The sequence below is a fragment of the Homo sapiens genome, chromosome 6 (genome assembly GCF_000001405.40).
Source record: "Homo sapiens chromosome 6, GRCh38.p14 Primary Assembly".
Lineage (NCBI taxonomy): Eukaryota > Metazoa > Chordata > Mammalia > Primates > Hominidae > Homo > Homo sapiens.
The window spans coordinates 25058024-25078594 of record NC_000006.12 but is presented as its reverse complement, the minus strand read 5'-3'; the positions used below and the strand labels follow the sequence as shown (position 1 = coordinate 25078594).

At 41.5% G+C, this 20571-nt stretch overlaps 2 annotated features.

Annotated features, from left to right (window-relative positions):
- Positions 16534–17102: an enhancer, noted in NCBI's record as "OCT4-NANOG-H3K27ac hESC enhancer chr6:25061721-25062289 (GRCh37/hg19 assembly coordinates)". NCBI's record gives its function as "activates a minimal SCP1, AML or CMV promoter by ChIP-STARR-seq in naive H9 embryonic stem cells {active_cell/tissue: H9 hESC(naive)}" and the evidence as "EXISTENCE:reporter gene assay evidence [ECO:0000049][PMID:30033119]".
- Positions 19189–19502: a silencer, noted in NCBI's record as "fragment chr6:25059321-25059634 (GRCh37/hg19 assembly coordinates)". NCBI's record gives its function as "represses an EF-1alpha promoter that drives an FKBP-Casp9 reporter gene in an ReSE screen in K562 erythroleukemia cells {active_cell/tissue: K562}" and the evidence as "EXISTENCE:reporter gene assay evidence [ECO:0000049][PMID:32094911]".

Genomic DNA, 20571 nt, shown 5'->3' with positions numbered 1-20571 from the left:
AAGGAATCAGTGTGAGGTGAATTATAGATCTAAATGTGAAAAGCAAAACAATAAAACTTCTACATGATGATATATGGAAATATCTTTGTGACCTTGCTGACAAGATTTCTTAAACAGAACACAAACAAGCACTAACCATCAAGAGAAAAAAAATGAACAATTAGACTACAGTAAATATAAACTCTATTCATGGCTCACAGCTGTTTACCCAAGAGAAATGGAAATATGTTCACAAAAAACTTAATGTTTGCAGCAGCTTGATTCAGAATTACTCCTAAACTGGAAACAATTCAAATACCTGTCAACTGGCACATGGCTAAACAAAAGGTAGTGCATCTATACAATGACATACTATTTCATAATTAAAAGGAATAAACTGTTGACACATGCAACATGAATGAATCTTGAATGCGTTACAGCACATGAAAGAAGCCAGACTCAAAATACAAATATATAGATGGAGAACAAATCAATGGTTGCCAGAGTGTAGTGGGAGGGAGAGGCAGTTACTATGAAGGAGCAGCATGAGTAAAATTTTGCAGGGGATGGAACCGTTCTGTATCTTGATGGTGGTGGAGGATACACAACTCTATGCATTTGACAAAACTCATAGCACTGTACATCTAAAAGCGTAAATTTTATGATATGTAAATCTCAAAATAACCTATTAAGCTCTTAATAACCTATTCATAAGCTACTATTAACCTATTCACTAAGAATGATATTAAGGGAATAAAAAGGTAAGCCACAGAGGGGCTCTTACAAATTTAAAAGACCAATAATATAGTAATAGAAAATTTTGAACCACTCACAAAAGAAGCTTTGAAAAGATGCTCAAATTAATTACTCACTGGGGAAAGGCAAATTAAAATTCCGCTGAGACACCACTACCCATCTACCAGAATGGCTAACATGAAAAAGGCAACTTCAAGTGTCACTGAGGATGTGGAGCCATAGGAAGTCTCATACTCTGCTGGTGGGAGTATAAATTAGTACAATCCCTTTGGTTAATCATTAGGCACCCCTAAAGTGAACATACGTGTAATCTATGACTCCATAATCCCCTTCGTCAGTATATACCCAACAAAAATGTACACATGTATTCACAAAAACACATGTTATCTGTAAGAATGTTCATAGCATCCCTTTTTCTAATAGGAACCTGGAAGCACCCCCAAATACCCGTCAGGAGAAGATTAAATTGTGGTATATTCATACCATGGAATTCTCCACTGAAGCAATTCTTTTTTTTTTTTTTTTTTTTGAGATGGAGTCTCACTCTGTTGCCCAGGCTGGAGTGCAGTGGCCTAATCTCGGCTCACTGCAAGCTCCGCCTCCTGGGCTCAAGTGATTCTCCTGCCTCAGCCTCCTGAGTAGCTGGGATTATAAGCACCCGCCACCATGCCCGGCTTTTGTATTTTTAGTAGACACAGGGTTTCACCATGTTGGTCAGGCTGGTCTCAAACTCCTGACCTTGTGATCCACCCACCTTGGCCCCTCAAAGTGCTGGGATTACAGGTGTGAGCCACCGCACCCAGCCTGAAGCAATTCTTTAAAGTGATGATCACAGACCCATGGAGGTCCCAAGACCCTTTTGCAAAGTCCTTGAGGTCAGAACTATTTTCAAAATAATACTAAATTTTTTTGCCATTTCCTCCACTTGTTGACCCTTACATTGTAGTGTGTATAAGTACTGACACCTTATTCTGGACGGAGGTAGAGGCATCAAACCATGCTGTCATTGTATTAGGTGCTTACAGTTAAAAAAAAAAAAAGTTTGTTTTATTTAACATCCATGATGTTGCAAGAAAAAGCACTGATTTTTCCGGGCGTGGTGGCTCACACCTGTAATCCCAGCACTTTGGGAGGCTGAGGCGGGTGGATCAGGAGGTCAGGAGATCGAGGCCATCCTGGCTAACATGGTGAAACCCCGTCTCTACTAAAAATACAAAACATTAGCTGGGCATGGTGGTGGGTGCCTGTAGTCCCAGCTACTCAGGAGGCTGAGGCAGGAGAATGGCCTGAACCCTGGAGGCAGAGCTTGCAGTGAGCCGAGACCGCGCCACTGCACTCCAGCCTGGGGGACAGAGCGAGACTATGTCTAAAAAAAAAAAAAAAAAAAAAAAGAGAAAGCACTGATTTTATTAAGTGTATAAATTTAGTAAGAATCTTGAGTACATGTTTTATAGGAAGAGTGAGCACAGCACTTCTGCTCCATACTCAAGTGTGACGGCTGTCCCGAGGGAAGGAGCCTACGTTATTGAGCCATGAACTACACTGGCCATCTTTTTTCATGGAACACAGTTTTGCTTTGAAAGAAAAACTGACACAAAAAAACTAACGAAGCATGGTGGTGCAGGCCTGTAATCCTAGCTACTCGGGAGGCTGAGATGAGAGGATCACTTGAACCCAGGAGTTAAGAGAAAATTAAGGAAATACAAATGGCCAATGAATAAATGAAAAGAAGCTTAATTTACTAATATGATGCACTGAGATAAATGTACAAGAGAGGGCACTGGCAAAATTATGTATCATTTTAGAGCTTAGAAGAAATAAGCATCTATCAATTAGGAAATAAATATATTACAGTAAATCACATTATATTAATATGTAGTGGTTAAAAACAATGAGGTAGCTCTATGTTTATTGATCCAGAAAGACGTACAATGCACATTTAAAAAGAACTAAGTTATAAAAATATCACTTATGTTTAAATAGCACTTTACAGGCACAACTTGTTTTATTATGCTTTATTGTACTTCACAGATATTACATTTTGTGTGTGTGTGTGAATTGAAGGTTTGTGGCAACTGTGCACTGAACAAGTTTATCAAGCCATTTTCCCAGCACCAGGGGCTCACTTCATGTCTCTGTGTTACATTTTGATAATTCTCATATTTCAAATGTTTTCATTATTATTATATCTGCTATTGTGATCTGTGATCAGTGATCTTTCATGTTACTATTCTAATTGTTTTGGGGCACCACAAACCCATATAAGACAGAAAACTTAATAAATATTGTGTGGGTTCTGACTTCTCCACCCACATGCTATTCCTCCATCTTCCTCTCTTCCCTCTGGCCTCTTTATTCCCTTAGATGTGACACTACTGAAATTAGGCCAATTAAGATCCCTACAATGGCCTGTAAGTATTGAAGTGAAAGGAAGAGAAGGTCACATGTCTCTCACTTTAAATCCACAGCTAGAAATGATTAAGTTTAGTGAGAGAGGCATGTTGAAAGCCAAGATAGGCCAAAAGTTAGGCCTCTTGCACCAAAGAGTTAGGCAAGTTATGAATGCAAAAGAAAAGTTCTTTAAGGAAATTAAAAGTGCTACTCCAGTGAACACACAAATAAGAAAACAGCCTTACTGATGATACGGAGAAAGTTTTAGTGGTCTGGATAGAAGATCAACCCAGCCACAACATTCCCTTAAGCCAAAGCCTAATCCAGAGCAAAGTCCTAACTTTATTAAATCTATGAAGTTTGAGAGAGGTGAGAAAGTTGTAGAAGACAAGTTTGAAGCTAGCAGAAGTTGGTTCACGAGGTTTAAGGAAAGAAGCAGTCTTCATAACACAAAAGTGCAAGGTGGACCCTTCCTTACACCTTATATAAAAATTAACTCAAGATGGATTAAAGACTTAAAACGTAGGACCTAAAACCATAAAAACCCTAGAAGAAAACCTAGGCAATACCATTCAGGACATAGGAATGGGCAAAGACTTCATGACTAAAACACCAAAAGCAATGGCAACAAAAGCCAAATTTGACAAATGGGATCTAATTAAACTAAAGAGCATCTGCACAGCAAAAGAAACTACCATCAGAGTGAACAGGCAACCTACAGAATGGGAGAAAATTTTTGCAATCTACCTATCTGACAAAGGGCTAATATCCAGAATCTACAAAGAACTTAAACAAATTTACAAGAAAAAAACAACCCCATCAAAAAGTGGATAAAGGATATGAACAGACACTTCTCAAAAGAAGACATTAATGCGGCCCACAGACATATGTAAAAAAGCTCATTATCACTGGTCATTAGACAAATGCAAATCAAAACCACAATGAGATTCTATCTCATGCCAGTTAGAATGGCAATCCTTAAAACATCAGGAAACAACAGGTGCTGGAGAGGATGTAGAGAAATAGGAACACTTTTACACTGGTAGTGGGAGTGTAAATTAGTTCAACCTTTGTGGTTGAGGATCTAGAACTAGAAATACCATTTGACCCAGCAATCCTATTACTGGGTATATAACCAAAGGATTATAAATCATTCTGCTATAAAGACACATGCACACGTATGTTTATTGTAGCACTGTTCACAATAGCAAAGGCTTGGAACCAACCCAAATCCCCATCAATGATAGACTGGATAAAGAAAATGTAGCACATATACACCATGGAATACTATGCAGCCACAAAAAATGATGAGTTCATGTCCTTTGCAGTGACATGGATGAAGCTGGAAACCACCATTTCCAGCAAACTAACACAAGAACAGAAAACCAAACACCACATGTTCTCACTCATAAGTGGGAATGGAACAATGAGAACATATGGACACAGGGAGGGGAACATCGCACACTGGGGCCTGTTGTGGGATGGGTGGATAGGGGAGGGATAGTTGATGGGTGCAGCAAACCACCATGGCATGACCTGCACATTCTGCACATGTACCGCATAACTTAAAGTATAATAAAAAATAAATAAAATAAAAAGAAATGAAATAGTGGCATTCACAGCAACCTGGATGAAACTGGAGACCATTATTCTAAGTGAAGTTACTCAAGAATGGAAAACCAAACATCGTATGCTCTTGCTTATAAGCAGGAGCTAAGCTGTGAGAATGCAAAGGCGTAAGAATGATAAAGTGGACCTTGGAGACTCGGGGAAAGGGTGGGAGGAGGGTGAGGGACAAAACACTACACATTGGGTACAGTGCACACTGCTCAAGTGAATGGGTGCACCAAAATCTCAGAAACCGCTAAAGAACTTATTCATGTAATCAAACACCACCTGTTCCCCAAAAACCTATTGAAATTAAAAAAAAAAATTGTGCTGAAAAAAAAAAGTGCAAGGTGAAGCAGTAAGTGCTGATGTAGAAACTGTAGCAAGTTATCCTGAAGATCTAGTTAGGATCATTGATGAAAGTGGCTATACTGAACAATAGATTTTCAATATAGATGAAACAGCCTTCTACTGGAAGAAGATGCCAGCTAGGACTTTCATAGCTAGAGAGGAGAAGTCAATGCCTGGCTTCAAAGTACAATGTGAATCTTTTGCTCAGGGCTAATGCGGCTGGTGACTTTAAGTTGGAACTAAAGCTCATTTACCATTCTAAGAACCTAGAGCCCTTAAGAATTATGTCACATTATTCTGCCTGTCCTCTATCAATGGAACAACAAAGCCTGTTTTCAGGTAATACACTTGTTTTCAGTATACGTTACTAAATATTTTAAGCCCACTGTTGAGACCTGCTACTCAGAAAAAAATTATTTCTTTCTAAATATTATTGTTCATTGACAATGTGCCAAGTCACTCTGGTGCTGTGATGGAGATATACAAGGAGATTAAGGTTTCATGCCTGCAAACACAACATCCATTCTGCAGCCCATGGATCAAGAAGTAATTTTAACTTTTAAGCCTGATTATTTAACAAATACATTTCATAAGGCCACAACTGCCATTGATAGTAATTCCTCTCATGGACCTGGGCAAAGTAAATTTAAAACCTTCTGAAAGGATTCACCTTTCTAGATGCTACCAAGAACATCTCTGATTCATGGGGAGGATGTAAGAATATCAACATTAACAGGAGTATGGAAGAAGTTGATTCCAACTCTCTTGGATGACTTTGAGGGGTTCAAGACTTCAGTGTATGAAGTAACTGCAGGTGTGGTTGAAATAGCAAAAGAACTAGAATTAGTAGTAAATCCTGAAGATGTGACTGACTTGCTGCAATCTCAAAACTAACAGATGAGGAGTTGTTTCTTATGGATGAACAAGGAAAATGGTTTCTTGAGATGGAATATACTCCTGGTGAAGAGGCTGTAAACACTGTCCAAATGACAACAAATGATTTAGAATATAACATAAACTTAGTTAATAAAACAGTGGCAGGATTCGAGAGGATTGACTCCAATTTTGAAAGAAATTCTACTGTGATTAAAAGGCTATCAAAGAGTATCACATGCTACAGAGAAATCCTCTGTGAAAAGAAGAGTCAATTGATGTGGCAAACTTCATTGCTGTCTTATTTTAAGAAATTGCACCAGCCACCCTAGCCTTCAGCAACTACCACCATCAAGGCAAGGCCCTCAACGAGCAAGATTACAACTCGCTGAAGGCTCAGATGATCATTAGCATGTTTTTTAGCAATGAACCATTTTTTAAATTAACATATATAATTGGTTTTTAGACATAATGCTCTTGCACATATAATGGACTATAGTATAGTATAAACATAACTTTTATATGCACTGGGAAACCAAAAAATTTGTGTGACTCATTTTATTATTTGTTTTCTCGCGGGGGTCGGGAATCAAACCCACAATAACTCTGAGGTATGCCTGTAAATAATATATAATGTATATATGCATGTGTGGGTGTAAGTGTGCATGCATGTGCATGTGTGTGTGTGTGTGTAACTCCAAGGACAAAGATGTGAAGCACTTACACCAATCTATTAACAGGGAGAAGAAAGACAGGAAGGTAATGGAATCTTCTACCTCTTACTCTATATGCTTCTGTACCATTTAAATGTATTACTATAAAGCATTTTTATATTTGTTGTGGAATTAGAAAAACAAAAACATTAGTATATATAACATTGTAAACCCTTAACTCTACCGCTGTAACTCAGTTATAATATTTTTAGTATTCTTTTCTAGCTTTATTAAATATTTCTATTTTTAGTTAGATATTTTATATCTTCTTAGACATCATGTTTTCATATTACTACATGTTAAAATAATTATAATATTCCATATTCTGAATGAGCCATAGCTTCAACTTTTCTTCAATTGTTGACTATTAAACAATCTTATGAAGATACCATCCATATTACATTTTTCATGTTTTAAATTCTTTTCTTGCAAGAAAATTCTTGAAATTGGATTATGGAATCAAAGGATATGAACAATTGTTCTGATGCATCTCAGTCTTCCAGTGAATGTGCAGGCCCATGTAACATGGACAGTCTTCTGTGTTCTACCTAAACATATATTTCCCACGGTGCTCCACAATGTTAATTCTGCAGAAACTACCACTCTGCTGTTTGCAAATGTTACTCGTGCACTCTTTCTTTTCCAAAAATGCCTTCAACACCTTTAAGGGGATAATGTTTTCTGAGAAACAACGAAAACCTTATTCAGTGCCTCCATATATTCTAAAGCATTAACCAAACGTAAGAAAAAAGATATCAGAACTTTGCCTTCTTGTCATGGCCATGTTATTATTTTAACAGCTAAAAATCAAGGTTAGTTGAACCAAAAAAATAGTTAAACTAGAATTGTAAGAATAAGTATTTTCCCTGTGGACTCAATTTTAATTTGAATGGAGAAAATGCTACCTTGAACAGTTGCAAGTAGGTACATTAGGAAACTGCAATGAGCCTATGTTGTCGACAGGTGGCGGAAGAGGACCACATCAAAACCCTGCGGCCGGCACACTAGTTCCTTTTTGCCCCTTTGAAAGCTGTAGCTGTGGACTCCATGAGGACTTCAAAGTAATTAAAGCGGCTGCCTTTCACCTTTTCAAGAGTTTGTTTCATCTGATGTATCTAGGAAGAGAGGGGCTTCCTTTGGGGTCCCAGTGGTCCCTTGGAAGCTCTCCCTTGAGTCTTCACACAGATACCCCCTCCACCCTGTAGCGTCCTGTTCACCCCACTGCCTTGCAGGCTGATGTGCGGCACGCTTCACCGAAGCTTTTGGGTATTTAAGGACACTACAGAGCAGAAGGTTAAAAATTAAAGTTTTATGCTAAGTATGACTTCCTCTTATTTTGGTGAAAAACTAACCTTCCTTCCTTCCTTCCTTCCTCCCTCCCTCCCTCCCTCCCTTCCTTCCTTCCTTCCTCCCTCCCTCCCTCCCTCCCTTCCTACCTTCCTCCCTCCCTTCCCTTCCTTCCCTTCCTTCCTGAATGAGATGGAAGATCTCACTATGTCTCCCAGGCTGGCATCAAACTCCTGGGCTCTATCAGTGTTCCCACCTCACCCTCCCTAGTAGCTGGGACTACAAGCATGCCCCACCACACCCATCTCTAAGGCTCCCTTCACAGGAGGGTGCTTTGGGATGCACACAACTCCTAATCATTATTTCCTGCTCTCAAATCCAGGCCTCTTTATAGGGAGAGGGAAAAAAATGTATCTCTCCTTCCTATCTCACCCAGGCATTCTTCACCCAAGATTTAGGAGACCTCTTCCACTCAAAGGAACTCATCCTAGGACCTCATAGGAACTCATCCTAGGACCATGCCTGTTCCTAGGCAGTGCATTTCCAAATGAAATATTCACACTAATAATTCCTCAATGGCTTCATAGATGCAATCAGCCACCACCTGTATCACTGCAAGACCCCGGGGTCCATGGCTGAGAGGGAGGGAGCCCTGCTGGCTTTGGACTTCAAGGCCTCCTGGCATCCAGGGCAGGCAGGTACACTCTTAGTATGGCTGTCTTAGAGATCTTCCCATGGCTAAACATGCAGGTGAAGGTGGACTCAAACCCACAGACCTTTGAGCAATAAATGTTTATTTTCCCAGAAAGTTGTCTCCATTTTTAGGAAGGAAGGGATATTTTCCTAACTTGCCAAGCAGAGGAGTTCAAACGTCACTTTATTAGGCAAAGCAATGTTATTTCTTGTGTTTTGAAGTCACTTCTCCCCAACCACCCCCCGAGCCGTTTTTTTTTTTTTTTTTTTTCAAATTATGCATCTTTAGGCCAACCAGGAATAGGAAAGGGGCCTATGTCTAAGACATTCATTTCTTAATGAACATTCCCTTCAGTACACAAAAGCTAGACTCCCTTAACTTTGAAATGCCATGTTGTAGGGGGTAGGTTCTTAGGGTCCTCCTCAGCCTCAGCCTGTGGGCAGGTGGGAGTTGGGTAGTTTTGTTCTTTCACTTACATAACTAAAAAACCAAGATGGGAGGACTGGACGCTCTGTGTAACCACAGATATCACGCCATTGAAGGGTGCAGTCCGAATGAGAGAGTCTCATGTGTTAATAATTATCTGCTACTCACAAAATGGTAGCCCTGCCCAGTAATCCAGCTAAGGAGCTAAAAAGAGAATTTTTCATTTTTGAGGCATGGACCTACCCCATCTGGACCTGTGGAGAGCCTGTTTCCATTAAAACAGCATTTACCAACCTGGTCATTTCAGTAGCTGTGATTGGCTCAGGTGAATGAAACTTAGCAGTAAAAATTTTCATTTATCTCTTTTGCATGGAAAAACCTTTAAGACTGGGGTAAATGTGCTTCCACAAAATAGGTCAAGTAAATTCTTATAAGGCCAAGCAATGAAGCAATGTTTCCAGGGGCCTCAGGCCAATAGTTCTGTAGGAAAAAAAAATGAAAATATCAGTGGCCTCGCAAGCCAGGAACAAACATTTTGTTGCCCTCTGGGTAGATAGATGTTATTAAGCATTAAGTTCAACTAGACATTTGGGACTCAATGATTAGGGCATTTGTGACCATTGCAACAGTGAGTCCCAGCTGCCCGAACCCCACCAGCTAAAGTATCCACAGCTCTGGTGCATCTCTGTAGAACTTACAGTGAATTCTGGAAATGGTACATGCCTAATAATAATTATGTTATCATTGTACACTTTTTTTTTTTTTACAAAGTGTTTATGAAGACAGACATGCTTCAATAACATTACCTAGGAAATGTAGCATTTGCGTTCCCGCCCAGAAGAGAACTATTTTGAGCTTGGTTGGGTCCCATCTGGAATTGACTTTTCCCATTAAAAGGACAAAATACTAAACTTTACTCTTATTTCTCGCTAGTGACTTGGGGCAGAAAAGAGGTAACTGGAGAAAAAGTGTCCTGATTAAGGAGAAAGAGCAGTACTACAAAATTGGGCAAATAAAGGGAGAAATCCTTCCCGGGATAATAATTCATCCTGGGCTTATATTTTGTAAAGCTTATTACAGAAAGCGAAAACTCCTTAGGGATATAATTGCAAAAACACTCTGAACTTATAGTGCTACACCAAAATGAAGAATTTGCTTTGATGCATGATTAGTTTTAGCATTTATCCAAATTTAGTCCCCTGTAGAATAAGAATAACTTTGGACACAGAGGAGATATGAACTGGATAGCCAGAGATAAATAGAAACACAAATCAGAACAGAGCAGAGGTCATTCTTATCGCCATACTCAGCTAAGGGTTTTCATCAATTTATATTGGAAATGAATGAACAATTCATACTAAAAACTCATGGTATCATTTACAGTTTACCATGTATAACGTTCAAAGTAACTGTAAGGAAACCTACAACTGATTCTCATTCTAGAGTGTGGATTTGATTTCAACTCCTGTGCTTGTGTTTATAGGCTCAGGATTTGAAGAACCCTTGGGTGGTGGTGGATGAGATGACTCCTTTAGGGGGCTCTGACTCGCCACTGAGACAAGATCCTGGGTCTCTATCCTGGCTAACACGGTGAAACCCTGTCCCAGCTACTCAGGAGGCTGAGGAAGGAGAATGCCGTGGACCCGGGAGGCAGAGGTTGCAGTGAGCCGAGATAGCGCCACTGCACTCCAGCCTGGGAGACAGAGCGAGACTCCATCTCAAAAAAAAAAAAAAAAAAATCCTGGGTCTCAGACAGAGTAGATCAGGTGAGGTGAGCAGCAGCTCCTGTTCCTTCTGGAGCGTCACACACCCCATTTCCACAGCACTCCTTTCCTCTGAGCCAGTTATAGCTCCCATTAAGTTTCTTCTTTCTTTGCATCTGTCAAGACCTCCACCATCCTCAATGCTTACCTCCGTGGCATCCCCAGCCTGCACCTCTCCTTCTCCAAACCCCCATCACACCATACAACTGAGCCTCCAGTTGATGGCTGGCCATTTAAGGTGAGTTAGTGTTGACTCCTCTGCAAGCGCTGGAAGTCAGGGACTACATCTTATATTCTGCGGTCATACTGCCTAACACAGTGACATTTTCAGTTAATCCTTAGCAATAACAGCTAGCATTTATCAAGTTTTATGATGTATCAGGTGCTTTGTTAAGCATACAACATACATTGTTTCTTTCAAGATACAAAGATTTTGTTATCTCTGTGTTGTCAATGAAAAAACTAAGGCTCAAAGAGCTAGTTAACTAGACAGCCCAGTGTCACGTTATTCATATGAATCCACTCGTGTCTTCCTCTACGTGAGGCAGGTTTCTCCTATGCCCTCTGCATGGGTGTAGGGGAAGGTGGTTCTGGTGATTTCATCTGGCCCCAGGACCTTTGCAAGTTCGTAGCATACTCCCAGTGTGCCCACAAAACCTGTGCTTTGCAATGCTAAAGGCATTTCTGGAGACATGAGAGTGGCTAGGTGGGAGGGGAAGGGCTCAGGAGGCCTGGAAATAAGTTCCCAAAACACAAGCATTGGTTTAGGAGGAATTCGGAATTGGTTTAGGAGGAATTCTCCCTCTCCATCCTGTATCTGCTGCTTTTTCTCCACTTAGGACACTTTAAAAAATAAAATAAAATAACTGGGTTTAAGTATACATGTGGATATTTTATTTTCCCAGCTGCAGCAAGAACAGCCTGGATGTTTCAGATTCTTGGGGCTTTCAGAGATGGGTCATGTCAACAATGCTGTCCTCTCTTAGGATATTAAAGAGTATTAAAGGATTTCATTCAGAGGGTTCTCCTGACATGTGGTGGGTTGGAAATATGATCCAAAGTATCCAAATTACAAATGTAAGAAAACAGTAATACTGAATGTTAAATTATTATTAAGGACTTACATTTGGGCTTTCTACTGGCTTTCAGTCAATATGCTTTGCTTTTTTTTTTTTTTTTTTTTGAGATGGAGTCTCACTCTTGTCACCCAGGCTGGAGTGCAATGGCGTGATCTCGACTCCCTGCAACCTCCGCCTCCCGGGTTCAAGCAATTCTCCTGCCTCAGCCTCCTGAGTAGTTGGGCTTACAGACGCCTGCCACCATGCCCAGCTAATTTTTGTATTTTTTAGTAGAGACGGGGTTTCACCATGTTGGCCAGGCTGGTCTCAAACTCCTGACCTCTAGTGATCCACCCGCCTCAGCCTTCCAAAGTGCTGGGATTACAGGCTTGAGCCACCGCACCTGGCCATGCTAAGCTTTTTAACAGTCATGATGACTAGTGTTTATTGAGTGTCCATTATGTGACTGTTTTGCATATATTATCTCTAATCCTCATAGCAACTCTGAAAGATATGTATTATTCAACCCATTTTATAGACGAAGGCTCAAGGAGGCTCAGTAACATGCCCAGAGCCACAATAGTGGGGGGCCCAGAATTCAGATCTGAAGTAATTTGATTTCAAATATTAAATATTTGGCCATTTTCTCCCCACCCAGCATTGTGGCTGCTAGCCATCCTTTATATGAAACATTCATCTCAATTACTAAAAGTGGCTTAAACCTATTTTCTCCTACTAACATGAATATATACATCTCTGTTCTCAGCAGAAGACACAAGAGTACAGGGATCAGAAAAACCCTTGAATGTTGCAGACTGCCCCAGTGCCATCAGACTTCAGATGTGTGACTCATTTTATTTTTGGTCAACACACGTAAGTCACAATAATACATCCTCTTTTTCCAAGGAAGGATGTTTAATAAGAATAAAGATGGCCAGGCCTGGTGGCCCATGCCTGTAATCCCAGCACTTTGAGAAGCCGAGGCGGGTGGATTACCTGAGGTCAGGAGTTTGAGACCAGCCTGACTAACATGGTGAAACCCCGTCCCTACTAAAAATACAAAAATTAGTCGAGCGTAGTGGCACATGCCTGTAATCCTAGCTACTCCAGAGACTGAGGCAGGAGAATCGCTTGAATCCGGGAGGTGGAGGTTGCAGTGAGCCGAGATTGTGCCATTGCACTCCAGCTTAGGCAACAGAGTGAGACTCCATCTCAAAAAAAAAAGGAAGAAAGAAAGGGTCTAATATTGAACTTTGCATAAAAGGGGCCACAATTAATCAATTTAATTAGGTGGAATATGCTAAGCTTTTAATAAGCATTGTCTCATTTAATCACCAAAAACAGCCCCTGTAGAATTGGTATTTACTGATGGTCTGACCTCAAGCAAGTTACTCTGTCCCACTGAGCTCCAGTTCCCTGGTCTACAAAATGGAGATAATGATAGTTCCTGCTTCATAAGGTTATGATGATATTAAATAATCCACATAAAGTGCTTAGCCCAGCACCCAAAACAAAGTAAAAGCTCAGATAGTGTTTGCTCTTGTCCCTATTTTACAGATCAGAAGCCTGAGACTCATAGAAATTAAGTATCGTGCCGAGTCACATCACTGAGAGCTAAACCTCAAAGTGAAATTCACTAACCACTCTGCTATACTGCCTTGCTTAGCTAATGGTTGGTTTAATTAAATAAGTTAATTAATTATTGAAATTGTATCTTTTGTCCCCTGACTCTACTGTGTCTGGAGATAAACTCTGTTGGTTAGAGCACAGGGCTACAAAGACCAAGGCTAGTTAATACATTCCTCACCAGCCATCCTGCAACCCCAAAAGGATGATGGATGGAGGGGCTGTGGATGAATCCATGCATAGCCATCACTGCTATCAGAAAACAATCCTAGCCCTACTGTTAGTAGCCCTAGTTAGAGTGACCCTGTGTTCTGGTATGCCCAAACCAGTCTTGGTTTATTGCAGTCTTCCCGGTACAATTATTAACAGTGCCCTCTCGCTCTCAAAAGGTCTTGGTTTTGGCCAACAATTATATGCCCACTCTACCCATAAGTGGTAGAGCAGCATGTTCTCATCATCCGCTGCCTCCTTGGTCCTGTTCACAGACTGTCAACAGCCATGTCTTGTACACTGGGACTTTTCCCCTACCCCTCATGGCTGACTGCTTTAAACCTCAACCTTTTCTCCTTGAAATTCTCCCCTCCATAATTTCTCAATTCTTCCTGGCTTCAGATGCTTGGCTATGGTATGGGGTTTAAAGATGTTGGCTGGAACCCCATGACTGGAGTCGGTAGCCTGGCCCCACCACTGACAGGCTGGCAAATCACTTCATCCTTCCCTAAGCCTGAGTGTCCATGTCTGTAGAGCAGAAGAATAGGCTGGCTCTCAAGGGGTTCTAATAATATGGTGCTTGGAAAATGTCAGCTGTCCATTAGTCATACTATTATCTGTTTGTGAAAACAACAAAAAAGAGATCATGGAATAGTCCAGCAAAATTGTGCCTGCTGGGCACCAAATCACACAAGCATGACTAAGGATCATTGGGGGATGATACAGAAAAGCATGAATACACTATTTTGCTCCTGTTAAAGAGGGATGGAGGCTGAAACTACCATGTAAATCGGGGGAAGCCTGTGGGTATGAATTGTGAGTGGCATTGCTGGCCCCCTGCCTGACACTTGTCAAGCTACCTAGGATTTTCCTGCTACTTTCCACAACCTCTGCCTCCTGGATTCAAGCAATTCTCCTGCCTCAGCTTCCCGAGTAGCTAGGAATACAGGCATGTGCCACCATGCTCAGCTAATTTTGTATTTTTAGTAGAGATGGGGTTTCTCCATGTTGATCAGGCTGGTCTCGAACTCCCAACCTCAGGATTCACCCACCTCAGCCTCCCAAAGTGCTGGGATTACAGGCATGAGCCACCGCACCCAGCCTGGTCTGAGAGTTTTTCTTAACTTCTAAGAATGTACTGTTCAATCTCAGAGCCTCTGAGTTCCCCTTAGCTCTTCAAGGAGCCCTAATGCAGTATCTTCCAACCTGCCTGCTTTCCTAGTAAGGTGCCCCAAGCTCTGGACTTGTTACCATCTCTACTATGTCTCATCTTGTAGGGAGCTGCTCTCTGCTAGCTATTACCCTGGTGGTATGAAAACTGCTAAGTGTGGTGGACAGGTGTTGGCATTGCCTTCCTAATATCCAGTTTCTCCTCTAACGGTAAGAGCACCTGAAGTTTTCCTTGCTGATCAGCCCCCTCTCACTCTCATTACATGTGGCTTGGGTGGGGCTGACCCTTCTTTCCCACCCCAGCCATTGGCACAGGACTGTGACCTCATCCATTAATGTCACAGTGGTTGGTTTATAGAAGACCACACGGCTCCATTTGAGTCAAAGGGACATAGTCTTGAGATTTGGGCTGGAATGACAGGGAAAGAGCCACTCCTTCCTTTGGGTTGTTAAGTGAGTAAGAAGTTACGAGAGGCCATCATTGTCCCCAGAGAATGAAGCCAACTGAGAAAAACAGAGTTGACAAATGAAAAAAAGATTTCTGACGACATTATTTTGACACCTGATCCACCTGAGCTTCAAGCCATCTACCATAATGATTGAGACAATTAAATTCTGTTTATGCTTATACCATTTTAAGTTTATGTCACTTACAACCAAAAGAGTCTGGTTAATGCAACAAGAAAGTGTGTGATCCCTCTAAGGTTTACATTTTAGCATTAGACAGGTCTTCAATCCAAAGAGATGCATTCGTGTGGCAGAATGTTAGTCACTCATGTCAAGCTAAGGTGGCCAGAATATTTTGAAGTGGGCTTAAGAACTAGGGACACTCATACCCTGCCCTATGTACCAGTGACTGGCTCATCTGCCTGGCACCAAGTCTTGCCCAGCTCAAAGGACAGACCCTGTTGGCCCAAAGGAGCTTCTTGGTTGGCTTCAGGCCTGAAAAGGCAGCCAGCCCTATGTGTTCCCTCCATGAGAAAACATTTCTCACTGAGATCCATTCAAAGCACTTCTTATCACCAACAGGAGTAAGCTCTGCGATAGGAGTGAAGAGTGTCACTAAGTGAGAATCAGCTACGGTGGCAGCTCGTCCTAGAAATGTCACGTCTCATCCTGCCTCCGTGTGCTGGCCTATCCAAGTTCAGGTTTCAGGCAGGCAGCTGGACTCAGCAGGAAGAGTCTCTTTTTCTGAAAGCTAAAATGACTCTTCAGCTGTAAGTTAAATAAGCCTAGAGGATCTAATGTACAGCAAGGTGACTCTAGTTAACAATACTGCCTTGTATACTTCAATTTTGCTAAGAGAGTAGATTCTAAATGTTCTCACCACAAACACACACACACACACACACACACAGGCACACACACACAGGCACACACACACAGACACACACAAATGGGAACCATGTGAGGTGATGAATGGGTTAGCTAACTTGATTGTGATCATTTCGCAACATATAGGTGCGTTAAATGTCACATTGCATACCTTATATTTATATAGTGTTGTCAACTACACCTCAATCAAGCTGAAGGCAAAAAAGAAATAAGTACATTGTTTGGTGGGTTAAAATAAAAAGCAGCTTGCAGAGTAATATATGCAGAATTATTACATCTGTTTAAACACATAAATCTATATTTCTATGTGTACATTAATAGATAAAGTCTGGGAATAAACATATCAATACAAAAAAGAAAAGGCTCTTCTGGCTGACAAGGGGAAGTGGGATTGGGTGCTTGGTGGTGGGTGCGGAAGCAGCAAAGAAAATCAAGTCTCATACCAAACTAACCTCTCTTTTTTTGTTTGTTAAGTGAGAGCGGCTGTCCTCCTTGTTTTCTTTGAAAGAAGATCATTTCCTGAAGGCCGAGAGATCCAGGCTCTCCAAAAGCCTCTCTCTGTGGGTGAGACCCGCCAAAGAATGCAAGGATGAGAAACAAAACCAAATCTCAGAGGAATGAAAGAATCCTTTTCACATGGACATTAGTTACATTCATTAATGGCTCACACATGAGTTCAGGCCCATGTTTTGATCTGTAGGATTGTTTTCAATTGAGCTCTAGAAACAGACCCTGAGATCAGGATTCCGGTGTAAGTGATTTACTTAGAAAATACTTCCAGGGAAAGCCAGATAGAGAGGGGGAAGAACGCAAGTGGAGTGCCACCCCAGGCAAAGTGCCAGCCTCAGCCTGATCCCACAGGGGAGCTCTGGAGGACAAATTATGCCTCTGAGTTGTCCCCACTCAAGGCAGGGGAGCTGGGCTTTCAGATGCCTGCACTGGCAGTTAGCAGTCTCTGGTGAAGGGCTGCCCTGGAGGAAGGGAACACAAAAACCTAAACCCCCAGGTCCTTCTGGCTCTCCACACTTGTGAGCAAAATGATTCGAGAGACTGAGGGCAGAGGGCACAGTAAAAGTGCACAGAGGGGGTGAGTGGGGAGCAACACACAGCTATGGCATTGGAAGGATGGAAAGTGCCTAGGATGAACACCAAGAGGGCTGTATCCATCAAGGTTCTCTAGAGAAACAGAAGCTATAGGATGGGTGGATAGATAGATGATAGATAGATAGGTGATAGATAGATGATAGATAGATAGGTAGATAGATGACAGATAGATAGATAGTTATATATTATGAAGAACTGGCTCATGCTATTAGAGAGTCCCATTATTGGCCATCTGCAAGTTAGAGGCACAGGAAAGCCAGTGACGTAGTCCAGTTTGAGCCTGAAGGCCCAAGAACCTGGAGCTTCAATGTCTCAGAGCTGAAGTTTGATGTCCCCAGTCAAGCAGAGGGAGTAAATTCACCCTTCCTCTACCTGTTTGTTTCATTCAGGCCCTTAATGGATTAGATGATGTCCAGCAACATTGGTGAGGGTGATCTTCTTTACTCAGTCTATTGACTTAAATGCTAATCTCTTCTGAAAACATCCTCACAGACACACCCAGAAATGATGTTTTCCCAGCTATCTGGGCATCCCTGAGTCCAGTCAAGTTAGGCTTAAAATTTACCATCACAAGTGCTTATCAAAGACATATCACAGAAGACTACAAAATGCAGGATTGCTGGGCTTACCTATTTTGGGATAATTAACCAGCCCATAAAGATATCCTTTCTTTCTTTGAGGACTACAACTATCGCCTCCACCTGCTACCCCTCGCCACCACACCCCTCCCCTTTCCACACACACACACAATTCAACCCTCCGCAGCTGAGTTCATTTGCCTCCATGACCACAGTTGAGCCAAGGAGATTCTTCCTCCTGAGAATTTGGTTTGCAGACCAAGAAAATCACATTCCATCTGGCTATTGGCTTGGACTGGGGTGGTGTGGACTTAGAAACTAAGGTCACCATTGTAAGGTGGCCAGGCTTGGACATCCAGTGAAACAGAGCAAACGAAGCCCCAGAGAGCAAAAAGAGTGTATAACCAGATCAGTAGCTAATGATTATTCAGTGCTGGCTATGCAGCAGGCCCTGTTTTCACACAGAAGAGCTCATTTGATTCTCATCACAATCCTATGTGATATGAACTATAGTTATTCTTATCCAAGGTCCAGGACACTCAGGCCTAAAGTCGTTTAGCAAATTATCTAAGGTCACACAATTTTAAAGGGTGTGCTCAGGAGTTAGTCCTCTGGTTTAACTCCAGAGCTGTGTGCTGCCCACAAAGCCAGGAAGACAGCTGAGTGCTCAGAAGCCCAGGTTAGACTTCATGGCTCCTGAGAGCAGGAGAAGGCCTGGCAAAGTTTGACAGATTGCTGCCTGGGTTCCCAGTGGCCATCGACATCCGCAGATAGCTGTCTAAACGTTTGCCTTGTTGTAATATGCCTACTCATTTTTGTTGTTGTTGTTGTTGTTGTTGTTTTTGGGTAAATGATAATGTGGGGTTTTTTTGGTTTTTTGTTTGTTTGATTTTAGAGACAGAGTCTGACTCTGTTGCCCAGGCTGGAGTGCAGTAGCATGATCATAGCTCACTGCAGCCTTGAACTCCTGGGCTCAAGCAATCCTTCCACCTCAGCTTCCCAAGTATCCGAGACTACAGGCATATGCCACCATGCCTGGCTTTTTTTTTTTTTTTTTTTTTTTGAAATGGAGTCTTGCTCTGCTGCCCAGGCTGGAGTGCAGTGGCGTGATCTCGGCTCACTGCAAGCTCCGCCTCCCGGGTTCACGCCATTCTCCTGCCTCAGCCTCCCGAGTGGCTGGGACTACAGGCACCCACCACCATGCCCGGCTAATTTTTTTGTATTTTTAGTAGAGACAGGGTTTCACCATGTTAGCCAGGATGGTCTTGATCTCCTGACCTCATGATCCGCCTGCCTCGGCCTCCCAAAATGCTGGGATCACAGGCATGAGCCACCGCACCCGGCCCTGGCTATTTTTTTTAAAATTTTTTGTAGAGACGGGGTCTCACTATGTTGCCTAGGCTGGCCTTGAACTCCTGGCCTCAAGTGATCCTCCTGCTTCAGCCTCTCAAAGTGTTGGGATTACAGGCGTGAGCCATTGTGCCCTGCTGATGTTTTTTTTTTTAATGTCAGTTTCTACTTGGTCATTTCTGGTATATAAGGAAGTGATTGACTTTTGTGTAATAATCTTGTATCCTGTGTCCCTGCTGTAACTGCTTATTAGTTCCAGGAGTTTTCTTAGTTAATTCTTTTGGATTTTCTACATAGACAATCACATTAAGTGCAAATAAAGGCAATATTATTTCTTTCTTCTTAATCTGTTTACCTTTTGTTACCTTTTCATCCCCCCACCTAAAAAAATCCGTTTATAGTTGCAGTGGATTTGTCTTGCTTGCAACTAAAAGACCCTTAGTGAGGACACCATTTCTGATGAAATGAGAAAGAAATGGAAATTTGTTTTCAGTTCTTTCCAACTTCATGAGTTTCCTTTTCCACTCCCACGCCCCAGGTTTGATGCACAAGGGTTTCACCCAGGTTAGGCTCTAGGGTCAGAACAAGCAATGCCTGGGCCTTGTGACACCAGCAGCCCATCGCATCTCTGCTACAGCCTCACCCTTTCGCCCTGTGAAGGTGAAAGTCAAAATCCCTCCAAGAGAGAAAATTCTCTCAAGAGAGACAAGCCTTTTTAGTGTGGGTGGTACAATGAGGAACCGCAGATTCTAAGAATTGTTCAAGAAATCATGCTTTGTGTTGTATTTAAATTATGTCATGGTGGCTTTATTTTCTTTTTACAACTTTAAGAAAGTCCAGCCAAAGTGTTCTCTAACAAGAAAACGTGAACAATGTGTAGAGTAGAAAATACCAAAAGGCTGATCGCAAACTCATCTGGAGTTTAAGTGAGAAGATTTAGTTTCCTATAATACTCATATTCTACAGCCAATTGAACAAACATACTTTCCTTTTACAAACACATATTACAATTTCTATAGAGGACTAAGCAAAATTTCATTCTCAAACTATTGAATATTAAAGGGAAGTTGTAATCATGATTATAGGAAATAGGATATATAGATTTAAACTTGAGTAAGATCTTCATTCCTTCTGCCTAGTCACTTTGCTTATAATACTCTTTGAATATAATATACACATACTGTAATGTGTAGATACGTAATAGTGAATATGTAACACTAGAATGTAAAATATCTTTTAATCATCTTTATTTTTACTAAGCAATAAATTTTCAACAGAGCATTTACATTCTTCAAGAAT